We start from the raw sequence: 14,566 nt of genomic DNA, 5'->3' as shown, positions 1-14,566 counted from the left end.
AGTGCAGTTGTGTAATCTCAGTTCACTGCACTCAGCTCACCTCCACCTCCTTAGTTTAAGTGATTCTCCTGCCTCAGCCCCCCAAGTAACTGGGACTACAGGCGTGTGCCACCACACCTGGCTGATTTTTGTATTTTTAGTAGAGACAGGGTTTCACCATGTTGGCCAGGCTGGTCTTGAACTCCTGGACTCAAGTGATTCACCTGCCTTGGCCTCCCAAAGTGCTGGGATTACAGGCATGAGCCACTGAACCTGACCCATATTTTATGAGAGTGGAATGAGATAGAAGAGAAACATACAGAAAACACTACCATATTGGCGATGTTCTATTTCTTAATTTGAGTGGCAAGTGCATGATTTTTTTTCCTTTTATTATGCTTCAGCACCTACAGAGGTACTGCATGTATACAATATGTAATACCTGCTTTATAATTTTTTAAATGGACAGGGAAGCAGCAGAGAGATACAAAGCAAGTGTGTGAAATGATTGGGCCTAGCCCTCTCCTCCTAAATTTTAGGGAGCTGTAGGCTCCCCCCATTTTAAAGATAAGGAAACTGAGTCTCCAAATGGCTACATGCCTGCTGCAGCCCAGCTGCAGGTGTCTACAGAAGGACAGGGTGGGAGGTGAGGAGAGGCAGGGAGGGACGGTTGCCAGGGAACCAGAGCTCTGGCTCCGGGGCATGGGTCAGTCTCAAAAGAGGGCCATCTGGGACATGGACTGCGGGAACACTGACCAGAGCTCTCAGGACACATGTGACTGAGGCCTCAGATGTGGGCACCATTCCCACATGGATCGGCTCCATTTTTGCTTGTTCTTTGGACATGAAACTAGAATCCTCCAGCCTGCCAGTGAGCCTGCGAGCATGATGTCACCAGTGGGTCTGAGCAGCAGGTGGAAACAGCCAAGCTAACTTAACACGCTCCCCAAACAAAGTCCTGTCATAGTGGTTAGCAGCTCGGCTCACAGAGGATTCTGTAAAGGAGAATGACCATGTTATAAACACCCAGCTCCTATTCCGCCTGCCCCAGAAACACGAGCTTAGTAACTGTTGCACGTGCGTGCACAGATAGCCCTGCTTCCTCACCCTTCCTCTCCTGGTTTGTAATCGCACTCACAAAGGCCCACCCCAATGACTTAAAGCATCCTATTGGCAGTCACAAAGGCAAAGGAACTCCAGGTTATGGCCACAATTCAGCTTCAGAGCCCCCCCATTGTGCCCAGCCACCGCAGTGGTCTCAGAGCTGTCGGGGGTCTTGCATATCTCATACGTGCAGCAAAGTGGGGGAACAATGTAACAAATTATGGACAAGCTCAGAGCCCAGCCTGTGGAATTCTTCCCTTTGTGAGCCTCCATCACATGTCAGCTGGGCTGCTGGGCCGAAAGGAGAACGCAGGGGTGGGGGACATCCCAGCAGCAGGAGGCCAGCCCAGCGCTGGGACACTTTTATGCTTTTCACACCGAGGAATGTTACCCCTTCACTCCTTCTCTCTCTCTCTCTCTCTTTTATTTACAAGGGAAAAGATTATTCTGACTCTGGTTTTTTTCTTGGAAATCTAAATATTCTATCTTAATACCAATACTATTTCTTGCTAAATAAAGACCCAAGTAAATTTTTGGAGTCTATTTTCCCAGGAGCCAAATGCAAAAAAAGTTCCAGCAATGTGGACAATCATCTTGGTCTTAACCCTGCCCTTATCTTGACTTCCTGGTGCCTCTATTTCCTCATCTGTAAAGAAAGATACCATTACAGTAAGACTATCTATTTCATATGATTGCCATAGGATTAAATGTCTATAAAGGGCAATACTTGCAACATAGACAGCCTTCAAACTGTGTGCTAGTGCTGTTACAATTATTATTATTCACAGTGCTATTGTCAGAAATATTCACCCTATGGCCATTTTCACCATTCTCCTTCATCCTCTTTCTTGGCCCTTTCACATCTTAGCAGGTTCTTTATAAGAAGGGCCATTTCTGATGCTTCTTTTATATCTTAAAGTATATAGGGGGGGCAGGACACAAGGATTCGCGGTGAGAATTTGTTTTCTAACAAATGCTCAAATTCCAAAAGGTGACCTAACAAATCCTAACGAATCCCAAAAGATGACCTGCAAAAGTAGACTTTTTTTTTTTAATCCCTGATGCTGAAATACATTTACTTGATGAGGAGGCTGTTGTAGAGCAACTAAAAGGTTTCTCTCAAGTTAACTTTCCAAGTTTTGTTAGAAGACCAATATCATGTTTTCTCAGGATGACAAGAAGAAAGTATTCCTTATGCAAACAATTTGTGAACACATCATTAATCATTTCAGTATTCTAGGTGCAAATTCTTAAGGGTGGCCTTTTCCCCTATGGATTTGGGAGGATGGTAGCATTTGGAGGGAGAAAGGGGAAATGTGGGCAGCCCAGCAGGCTCAGACATTGTGACTTCTGTAGGCTCAGCACAGTTGCTTGCTTTTCTCCTCTATGACTATGGCAGCCATCACTAATCAATCATCCTTAATCAGCCATCACTAATCAATCCTCACTAATCAATCATCACCAATCAATCAAGCTGCTCTTCTCCATCACCCCCTAGTCCAGTCTAAGCTTCATAATCCTTCTCAACACAGTATTCCTGGTAGACATTACCAATCATTTAAAGCTACTTTATAAAATAAAACTATTTGCCCCTCTGAGTAGAGGGAAGTGGCATGAGTCAACAGGTCTGAAGGTCAGAAGGTCTGAGAGGAGAGACGGGGTCTGATAGTTGGAGAGGTCAGACCATGAGCAAAGGTTTCCTGCTGGCTATGAGTAATAGAGACAGGCAGGTAGGATGGTGGAAGTTAAGTACGGTGTCAACTATCACATTGTCTGTAAGTAGCGGGGTGTGGGTACCAGGACAGGCTTCAAAGTTAGGGTAGGATTTGTGATCTTGATAGATCCCTGCTGGTTTTAAGCCAAACGGGGTAAACTATAAGTCACTCCATAAGCTATTTATGTATAATGGTATACATTTCAGGGTGCTCTTAATTGAGACGAAGACAAATATTTTATTGTAAGAATAGTATGTCCTAACAAAATTTGAAGTATCCTTGAATGAAAGCCAGCAAGAGGCACAATCAGGCCTGCAGATACACCTTCCTTTGCAGGAAACATTGGCAATTCCTCACTTTGCCATCTACACCACACGCAACTCTACAAAAACAGGGAGGTTGATTTTTCAGTCACAGGGTCAGCTGTCTCCTATATGGTCAGTGTCCATTTCCCTGCACACGACCAGGGATGGGCTGAGGTTTGGAATCCATTCCATGTAGAATAACACTTTGTTTGACTCCCTCAGAAAAGGAACATGATTTTGCTTCTCTTTCTTCCTCTCTGTCCTCCATGAAGCACCTCCTCGCCCTCCACGTTTCATAAGACAGGTCACCTTTATGGTCTCTGAGAGGCGCCCAGCCCACAGGTGCTAATCAAAGCCAGAGGCCCATCCATAAGGCCAGAGAATCTCAAGTTCAAACTCTATCTTCTGTAACTACAAATGGACCTTTCCCATCCCAAATAAAGCTTCCTTCACTAAAATGGCTTTGATTTCTTGCAGTCTGTGTACTCCTTATAGATCCACATAAGAAACAAAAACCCCTGTAAAAGAAGCAACACCCCGGGGCACATATATATGCTGGAAACATCAAAATTGTCAGGCAACTTCCCTCTCACCCTCCACACTCCAAGGGAGATTATTAATTGTCCCCAGAGAAGGAGGTCAACTAAAAAGGGAGATACTCAGTTTATATGCGAATCCCACAAAAGAAGCCACTGATTCTCCTCTGTTTTTGCCAAGTCAATGTGGGCAAAAATCTGAGTGACACCTCAGAGGCCATCACCTATAGTAAACACAGCCACCACTCCAACCACTGGGTAAGGATTTTATTTTATTTTAGGAAGGCAAAGATGGCTTTTTTTTTTTGTTTAGCTTGAAATTGCAAGGTGCATAAACTTTTCTTTCTTCTTCTCTCCCACAGGGAAGCTTTCACACCACATTTTGTTTCCTGACAAGAGAAGGAGAAATCGTTGGCCTCTGCGTGACATGGAGGGTCCCCCCACCTGCAAGCTTTTGTGTTTGCTGGATCTTGGACAGTACCCTGGCGAAAAGCATTCGGCAAGATTATCCGGCTAGCACAGCCTTCAAGGAATAAATATCTAACACCTTGTTCCCTTTTGCGGTTCAAAAGCCACTGTCACTGGGGTACATAGGCAGTTTTAAAAAAGGCTACAATTCATATGCAAACTAGAGGAGGATTTCCATGATTTCATAATAAAATGTTGAAACGCTTTGATCTGGAGTTGTAAGGAGGTGTGAAACAGTGCCTCCGAAACAGACAGATATTTGTGTAATCATCCTTTATGTATTGCCAGTGCGGAATAATAACATATCAAAGCCCCAACCTACCTCATCTGCCTGGTACAGCCAAGGCATAAATAAAGGGGAACAATGGAATTACTATTACTCACTCTCCGAGAGCCAGCGACATCACTGTATCCTTTATAATTGCTGGCAAGAAGATTAATGTTTTGTTAAATATCAGAGCAAGGTCACAAGGGGGCTTGCAGGCCTGTCTAAACATCTAGTCTTTAAGCTCCTTCTCCCTCACTTGCTCTTTTTTGCGGAAATGAACTTGTAGCATTTCCTCTAATTATGGTGATTTTTGCTACTGAAAGCGGGCCTACATCATCGCTTGACTCTGAACATGCTCACACACACATGCATGCATGCTCACACACACATGCATGCATACACACACACACATATACACACACACATCTTCCCCAAATAATATTTGGGGACAGGCCTGACTTAACTGCAGAATATGGGCAACGTTGTTATGAGGTGACCTTGGCCTTTTAACCAACGTGGATAATTCATTGCCTGTCGCTGTGCACAGCTCGTGCTTAAAAAGTGAACTTTATTGGGGTCCTCAGGGGGCTCCCTAGCAAAGACTGGTATCATCGTTCATTGCGCTTCTGTTTTGTTTAGCCCATACGCCTGTCCATACAGATGTTTCCAACAGCAAACAGTTCATGACCCAGAAAGAAAAAAATATTTTGGCTTTCCCCAGCTTTCAGCACCTGTTCAAACCAAAGGGACTTCGAAGCTCTTTGCACACATCAGAAGGCCCAGCCAGCAATTGAAGAGAGGCCACCTCATGGCTGGAGCCAATGTTGCAACCTGGTGGCAAACCCAAGCCCCTTCAAGCAGTGACTCTTATTATCTTAACTCCTAGAAGAAGTGTTAGCAGGAGAGAAACGGCAGATCTCACAGAAAGATCTTTCATTATGTAAAGATCGTCACATGCATGTGTCAATTTGTCTCACCACATCAGAAATTAACCCAGATATTTCATGTTCATCCCCTTATCATTTATTCTGTATTTTGGGGGGGGGGGCAATGTCACATCTTTGGCATAGCATTGGGCGCTAGTCATTAGCCATTTGTGTAATTTTTGCAGGCCTGAGGTAAATTTTAGAAATTTTTCAGGATTAAATAATTTCAGAAATGTCTCTGGGGTTAGTGGAGGCTCTTTACTTGTTCCCAGAGGTAACAGCGACAACACTTAAAGGGTTTGGGATCAACAAAAAGGTCTTACAAATATGGCTAAGTATACAATAGAAAGAACTAAACAGAAACTCTTACTTCTATCAGAATTTGAAAGGATGAGAAGTTCTGTAGGTTGCAAAGGAGACACAAGGGCACCTTTCAAAGGGTCTGTTTATCTCACCACTCCATACCTTGCCTGGGCAAAGGGATTTTACATTGCAGCTCTAACGTTAAGGAGATGTGCTTATTTGTTTGTTTTTTGTTCTTGCAGCTCAAGGAGGAATTAAGAAGTAAAAGAGACAGCTTGGAATGAAGGTGGGTGTAAAAGGCAATTGGATGTGAAAGGGCAAATGTCCTGACTTTGGGGACTTGCCTCAGCTTCACTAATCTCAGTGACAGTTGCGGTATAGAGCCATAATTACCGTGTGTCCTCTTGGCTCAGCATAAAAAGAATAATATTCCACCTACTATTGATGTCTGTGCTTCCTGTGTACTGCAGGCCCTCAATAAACATGTGTTGAATCAATAAATGAATGGATGGATGGCCAGTTGACTCAACGGATAAATAGGTGGATGGATGAATGGATAGATGCCTAGATAAGTGGCTGGATGGATGGGTGGATGGATGGATGGATGGATGGATAGATGAATGGATAGAGGATGGATGGGTAAATGGATGAATGAATGGGTGGATGTGTGGATGGATGTGTAGATAGATGGATAGATGAATGGGTGCCTAGCTAATTGGCTGCATGAATGGGTGAGTAAATGGAAGGATGGATGATTTTAGAGACTTAATGCAAAGTAAACCAGACAAGTAATCACTCAACTAACTATGCCAAAGTTTGGCAAACCATGACCCATAGTCCAAGTTTGACCCACCACATTTTTTTTTGCAAATTAAGCTTTATTAGAACACAGCTATGACCATTATTTAGGTTTGTTTGCTTTCATGATCCAAGGCAGAGTTGAAGTATTGCAACAGAAGAAGTATGGCCTGCAAAGCCTAAATTATTTACTGTTTCTTTACAGAATAAGGTAACTAACCACTGAGCCACATTATTACTAGATTTTCTGAGTCCACACTACTTCTTCTCCTTGTTTTCTTTGTTTTATTGATAAAACAAACAAACAAAACACATAGACAGTAAACCAAATACACTCTTTCAACTTGTATAAACTCTCATAAACCTGCTGGGTGATACATAACTAAATAAGAATATTTTGATAAAACAATGGCAGTAAACCAAGGCAACTGCTTCATCTGTGCCTCAGTCAAAGAAATGATGATCTTTTCCAATGCAGGACAAAGAAAAGCCCAGGTGATAAATTTTTCGATAACCTGCAGGGTGCATACAAAATGTATTCTGTACTTTATGTGGAAGTTAAGAAAATTTTTCAGGGGCTAATTTTGAGCATATTATTAATTTTGCACCTTAGTACATTCACTTTACAATCTAAGAAGCTTTTCTTGTGATACCTTGGAACCTTATAACCTTAGCTAATATATATGACAGGTGAGTTTATTTATCCTCACCGCAGTGTGCATGTTGAATCTTCTCTTTCTGCTGGGCTGGAAGGATTATCTTACTGTGCTTCCCATGTTCTGGGAGGAGAAATACAACAGCTGCTAAGATAAGATGAATTTAACTTTATGCTCTTTAGGTCAGTAATGAACACAGAGCAAAGGCAGAAGGATCAAAAGAACACGTGGGGTTTTCCAAGAAAGCAGAACTACTAGAAGCTACCACATGGAAAGTCTAGCTTGAGATTTCCATACCTTAGACCACAATGCTGCATGAACTTGGCAAAGATCCACAAGCAAGAAGGGCAATGGGGGGAATAGGGGTTGAAGGCAGATATGTTGGGAAAGCAGATATGAGTTGTTGTATTCCATTTGTAATGGTCATATCCTATATAATACGATGTTGTCACTGCTTTTTCCATGTCAGTGCAAGAACCTTGCTAACCATCAGGTAACTGCAACCTGACTCCCATTAACAAAATGTCAGTGTAGAGTAGGCAGGTTCTTTGATGGCAGTGGTCCCCACCTCCTATTAATTATGCCCTTGTTTAAGCCCCTTTCCTTGAATGTGAGCTGAACCTAGTGACTTGCTTACAATAAATAGAATATCGCAGAAGTGGTAAGATGTTGTTTCGGAGGGTGGGTTACAAAAGATGGCAATTTCTGTTTTGCTTACTGATATGGTTTGTCTATGTCTCCATCCAAATCTCATCTTTAATTATAGTTCCCATAATCTCTACATGCCATGGGAGGGACAAGGTGGAGATAATTGAATAACAGGGGTGGTTCCCCCATCCTGCTTTTGTGATAGTGAATTACTTCTTATGAGGTGTGATAGTTTTATAAGGGGCTTCTCCCTTTGTTTGGCACTCATTCTTCTCCTTCCTGCTACCATGTGAAGAAGGAATTGTTTGCTTCCCCTTCTGCCATGATTGTAAGTTTCCCGAGGCCTCCTCAGCCCTGCGGAACTGTGAGTCAATTAAACCTCTTTCCTTTATAAATTACCTAGTCTCAGATATTTTTTCATAGCATTGTGAGAACGGACTAATACACTCACCTTCTTTTGGCCTCTCAGTTGCTCTGTTGAAGCCAGTTGTCATGTTGGGAGTTTCCCTATAGAGAGGTTTGCATGGCTAGGAACCAAGGTGCCCTCCAGCTAACAGCTAGGGAAGGACTGAGGCCTCAGTCCATGAATTCTGCCAAAAGCCACATGAGTGAGCTTAGAAGTGGGTTCTTCCCCTGTGGAGGCTGGAGATGACTGCAGCCTCAACTTACACTTTGACAGCAGCTTTATAAAGACCCCGAGCCAGAAGATAACTTACGCTCACCCAGATTCCTGACCTACAGAAACTGTAAGATTATCCAGTCCCTTTAAGCCAATACATTTTGGGGTAATTTGATATGCAGCATGGATAACTAACATAATCAGAATTTGCCTTTAGCTTTCTTTGCCCTTAAATATCTTAGTCCAGCTCCCTTTTTGTAATAATCAATGTCTGGCATCTTTTGTTTTACTTTATTTTTCTTTTGAGGACTGAAAAGAAGCTGTAAGCTAAGGGTAAGTGACTGATTTCTTAACACTTTTAGTTTCTTGGTGGAGAAATTCTGTCCTGGATACTACTGCCACATAAGAAACTCCTCAAAATTTAGTGGCTTAAGCAACACCACTTTATGATATCTCCTGGATTCTTTAAGTCAGAAGTTGGGGCAGTGTATGGCTGGTCAATCCCTCTGGGCATCAACTGTTGTCACACAGAAGTATTCAATGAATGGCTGGTCTCGTCTGAAGGGACCAAGGTAGCTTCCCCTGTGTCTGATGCTTTGGACAGGGCTCTCCAGCATGCAGGTCTCAGAGTATCCTGAATTCTTACGTGGCAATTGATTTTCCAGGAAAAAGAGTCCCAACAAGTTTGGCTTCACATTCATCCTCTAAAGAAACATTTCCTACTTGGATGGAGCACCTTATAGATGGAACATCAGACCCAATACATATGGAAAAAATTAAGATAATCTAGCCCAAATAAGTTGGAAAACATTGCCTTCTCTAGTTCCCTCTTGGATAGTGAAAATGCACATGAGCATATTAAAGGTCTTAAAAGTCAAGAGCACAATTTAACCTGCTGCCTCAAACACTTCCTAACCGGTTTTGGCCTATCAGTATAAAAATTATTTGACACTTGGAAATAAGGCAAAAATGTTGTGATATGGTTTGGCTCTGTGTCCCTACCCAAGTCTCATGTCTAATTGTAATCCCCCAGTGTTGGAGGTGGGGCCTGGTAGGAGGTGATTAGATCATGGCAGGGGTTTCTAATGGTTTAGCACCATCCCGCTAGTACTGGCTCATGATAGAGTTCTCAGGAGAGATCTGGTTGTTTGTAACTGTGTAGCAGTTTCCCCTTTGCTCTCTCTTCCTCTTGCTCCATCATGTGAAAAAGGTGGTTGCTTCCCCTTTGCCCTTCTGCCAGGATTGTAAATTTCCTGAGGCCTCCCCAACCATGCTTCCTTTACAGCCTGTGGAACTGTGAGCCAATTAAACCTCCTTTCTTCATAAATTACCCAATCTCAAGTTGTTCTTTATAACAGTGTGAGAACGGACCAATACAGGTTGGAAATGTGTCCTTTCAAAATCAATAATAGTGGCAAAGGCTACTCAAAAATTGTCCAGTGGAACTTTTTGCAGTGATGGAACTGTTCTGTGTTTCTGATAGGGTATCTGCCAGCCACGTGTGGCTATTGAGCACATGGAATGTGGCAAGTGTGACTGGGGAGCTATATTTTAATTTGATTTAATTTTACTCAATTTAAATTTAAATAGCCAGTTGAGTCTAGTAGATATGTTATTGGATAACACAGGTTTAGGGAAACATTCTCAGTTCATCCCATTGTTTAATATTGGTTAAAGGTCCAGGCTTAGTGAAGTCACTAAGTGCCCTCATGCCCTCTGATCTTTTCAGCCACTGATCAGGCCCCCACTGACCCCCAGGATCCATCTGCAATCCAGTGACTAAGTGAGTAACACCTGACCCGAAAGGACCTCTCCAGGACTCTGCCTCCAGGCTGAGGTTGTTCTGACTTGTTGTGATGGTTAACTTTACGCGCCATCTTGACTGGGCCATGGGATGTCCCAAGAGCTGATTAGATATTATGTCTGGGCATGTCTGTGCGGGTAATTCTGGAAAAGACTGGTATTTTAATTGGTGGACTGGGCAAAGCAAATGGCCTTCCCCAGTGTGGGTGGGCATCATCCAATCCTCTGAGGTCCTAAATAGAACAAAAACGCAAGGAAGGGATTGCTTGGCCTGACTGCTTGAGCTAGGACATCAATCTTCTCCTGCCCTCAGCACTTTTGGTTCTCAGGGCTTTACACCTGGACTGGAATCTATACCATTTGTACCATCAGCCCTCTGGCTCTCAGGCCTTCCAATGACACCATCAGCTTTCCTGGGTCCCAGCCTCCACAGTCACATGAGCCAGTACCTTATGAGAAACCACGTGCATGCTATTGGTTCTGTTTCTCTGGAGGACCCTGACTAACACACTGCATCAGAACACCCAATGCAGGGCCTGCTCCCAGGAAGCCCTCATGGCGGCGGCTGCTGCTGCTGCTGCTGCTGCTGCTGCTGCCTCTGGGGTAGCTGTCATGATCTCCCTGTTACACTGTAGCATGGCATCACCAGGTAGTGGTGATCTCAGAAGGGGGACTGCTGCTTGTCAGGACCATGGATAAAGCTGGGGGCTCTGAAGTCAGGTGCCTGAGTTAAAAATCCAGGCTCCCTGACCCACTCAATGTGTGCATTTGGAGATGTCTGGACTTTTCTATGTTTCAGTTTCTTTTTCTATAAAATGAAGATAAATAATAAGAAAACCTCACAGAGTTGTAGTGAGCAGGCCCATTCCTGACATCTGCAGGGCTGAAGAAGCAGAACACAAAAGGGGTTCTCAAGTGCATGATCTACCTATCCCTACTCCAGATACCCCTCCACTCTGATACCCACCCCACCCCAGTTGTCCACCTCTTGGATATGGGGACATACACCGGCAGTGCCATCCTCCTTTGAGAGGACAGACCTAGGAGAGAGGTGTGTGCAGCCACAGACAGGAAATTCCGAGGTCCTGGACACCCTGAGTGTGGACTAGAAGAGGAGATGTGAGTTACAGGTGAATATATGCCTTTAGCCCCAGAGTTTCATCCCCAGGGGGAAAGGCACAGCCAGCAAAGAGCCAAGGCAGAGCTCATGGAAAATGTATGCACACACATGCACACAGGGACCAAAGCAGGAGCCCGTCTTGCCTGGTTCCAAGATTGGTACTGGGCAGAAGATTTAAGTGATGGCTGAGAATGGGGCTGGCACCTGGTAAAGATTCAGTAAGCTGCTGTTATATTTCATGTCAGTTTCACTATGGTATCTGGCTGCGGAAGGTCCAACTATCCTCTGAGCCTAAGACCTACTAACAGATGACAAAGAATACACTTTATTTGAGTTGGAGAGAAAATAAAGCCACTTTATCTCTTCAAAGAGAGTTCGGGGGGGTGACGGGATGACAAGACAGACCCAGTGATACAGGAGGCCTCCACTTCCCAGCGGCCATAGTATTCCAGATTCATAAGGTCAAACTTTACAGCCCTGTTACTGCCACAGTTGATCATCCCTATCAGAAATATGCTACCTATTTCATCTCTGCTTTAAATGCAAAAAAAGTGGCTTCTGTGTTTTTCTTATAATGAAGGCATAAAAGAGCTATATGTCACATACACAGGAATTAAAGAGGTAGAAACATATTTCTAAACAGTTGTCACATATACAGAGCTGTTTATGGAAATGTAAGTTAGCAAACTGTAAGTTGCTCAGATTGCCAAGAACAGAGTTCCAGGAAAGGCAGTATAAAAATGAATTTAAGGTCACACACTTAGAGGTATCTTTAGACTGAAACTAGAATGAGGCAAGAGAGGTAAGAAGTCACTCTCTTTCAGGCTCAAGTCAGTGCAGGTTACCACTTGAGAGTAAGCACATCCTTACATGTAAGTCCTCTGTCCCTTGCTTGTCTCAGTCTGATTTGCACCTTGAGACATCCTTTATGTTGACCAAGGCTTCTTATATAATATTTTATTTTTATTTATGATTTTAATATATAAAATTTTAATTTTGATAAAATCACTTAACAGGAGACCTACCCTCTTAACACATTTTTAAGTGTACAATTCAGCATTGATGATAGGCACAATATTATACAGCAGATCTCTGACACTCATTCATCTGGCACAATTGAGATTTTATGCCCTATGATTAGCAAACCCATTTCTCTCTCTCTTCTAGCCCCTGGTAACCACCTTTCTACTCTCTGATTCTATGAGTTTGGCTATTTTAGATACCTATGTAAGTGGAAGCATGCAAAATTTGTCCTTATGTGCCTGGCTAATTTCACTTTGTATAATGTCCACAAGGTTTATCCATATTGATACATATTGCAGGATTTCCTTCTTTTTAAGGGATGAATACTATTCCATTGTATGTATGTATGTGTGTGTGTATATATATATATGTCATGTATATATATATGTCATGTATATATATATATGTCATATATATTTGTCACATTTTCTTATTCATTCATCTCTTGATGGAAATTTATATGCAAGACTAAAACTGTAAAACTCTCAGAAGAAAACACAGGAAAAAACCTTTATCACATTGGTTATGGCAATGATTTCATGGAAATAACACCAAAAGCATAGGCAACAAAGACAAAAATAGACAAGTGAGACTATATCAAACTTAAAAGCTTCTGCACAGAAGAAATAATCAGCAGAGTGAAAAGGCAGTCTACAGAATGGGAGAAAATATTTGTGAACCATATAGTTGATAAGGACTTCATTTTCAAAATATGTAAGAAGCCCCTACAATTCAATAGCAAAAAACTAATAACCAATTAAAAAGTGGGCTAAAGACTTGACTAGACATTTCTCCAAAGAAGACACACAAATAGCCAACAAGTTTATGAAAGGATGTTCAACATCACTAATTATCAGAGAAATGCAGATCAAAACCACAATGTGATATCACCTTGCACCTGTTAGGATGGCTGCTATCCAAAAAAACAAAAGGCAGCAGGTGTTGGTGAGAATGTGGAGAAATAGAAATCCTTGTTCACTGTTGGAAGGAAGGCAAAATGAGGCAGCCCCTATGGAAAACAGTATGGAGGTTCCTAAAAAAATTAAAAATAGGCTGTGTGCAATGGCTCACACCTGTGGTCCCAGTGCTTTGAGAGGCCAAGGTGAGCAGACCACTTGAGCCCAGGAGTTCAAGACCAGCCTGAGCAACATGGCAAAACCCCATCTCTACCAAAAAAAAAAAAAAAAATACAAAAATTAGCCACGTATGGTGGGGCACACCTGTAGTCCTAGCTACTAGGGAGGCTGAGGTGGGAGGATCACTTGAGCCCTGGAGGTGGAAGTTGCAGTGAGCCAGGATAGCGTAACTGCACTCCAGCTTGGGCAATAGAGCAAGGCCCTGTATCAAAAAATGAAAATTAATTCAAAATAGAACTACCATATGATTCAGTGATCCTAATTCTGGTTATTTATCCAAAAGAATTACAATCAGGATCTTGAAGAGAGATATGAATGCCCCAATGTTTATTGCAGCATTATTCACAATAGCCAATATGTAGCCATAACCAAGTCTTTTTAAAGTCCCAGGCAGGCTTTGAAATTCTTTGACAAATTAACACACAAATACCATCTTCAGATCATTTGCACACACCAGAGGTTGTTGGCAGCTTTCTGGGTTGGAAATGAGAATAGCTATGGCTTTTCCCCACCAGGAGCCACTCTCCCCAGGATGTGCAAAAGGCATGCACATCTGGATGTTCATCTTGCTTCCAGCTCAGCTGGGAGTAGGTTCTCTGAGATGGCAAGCCAGGATGGGGTGGCACACAATGGTTGTCAGGGAGGGGGAAGACCAGGTCCCCTGGTACCTAGGAGGTGCCAGGGAGGAAGGCGGGCCAGGCAAGACCCCAAAGCACATAGCTTCTCCTTGGGATGTTTGTCTTTGTTTCCATAGGTATTTATTTGTGCTTTTCTTTGACTGTTTTACGTGTCATTGATAGTTAAAGAAGACATATTGTACGTCCTAAAGAGAAGCAGTAAAAATAATTTAACTTACTTCTTTCATGTCTGAGTGTATTAATTCTTGCTTACATAAGGAAATACAAAAAACAAACTGTAAACAAGGAATCACTTGGAATCAGATTATGCATGAATAATGACACACATTCTCATCTAAGATGTGGGGGGAAAATCTAGTTTTACCGCCAGTGGCTCTAAAAAATGTTTTGCTTTTTCAAAGGAAATTACTCAGAATGTAATAAAACATGTTTTCTGCTCTAAAAGGATTAATTTACCTTTTGTGTCATGAGAAAATAAATGCAATCAATATTTCCATTCTCTTCCTCTATGGAAAAAGACA

At 42.5% G+C, this 14,566-nt stretch overlaps 1 annotated feature.

The window, feature by feature from the left end:
* Positions 974-1,775: an enhancer, noted in NCBI's record as "OCT4-NANOG-H3K27ac-H3K4me1 hESC enhancer chr16:51392697-51393498 (GRCh37/hg19 assembly coordinates)". NCBI's record gives its function as "activates a minimal SCP1, AML or CMV promoter by ChIP-STARR-seq in naive H9 embryonic stem cells {active_cell/tissue: H9 hESC(naive)}" and the evidence as "EXISTENCE:reporter gene assay evidence [ECO:0000049][PMID:30033119]".

The sequence above is a fragment of the Homo sapiens genome, chromosome 16 (genome assembly GCF_000001405.40).
Source record: "Homo sapiens chromosome 16, GRCh38.p14 Primary Assembly".
In the NCBI taxonomy this organism is placed as follows: Eukaryota; Metazoa; Chordata; class Mammalia; order Primates; family Hominidae; genus Homo; species Homo sapiens.
This window is presented reverse-complemented; position numbering and strand designations above follow the sequence as displayed.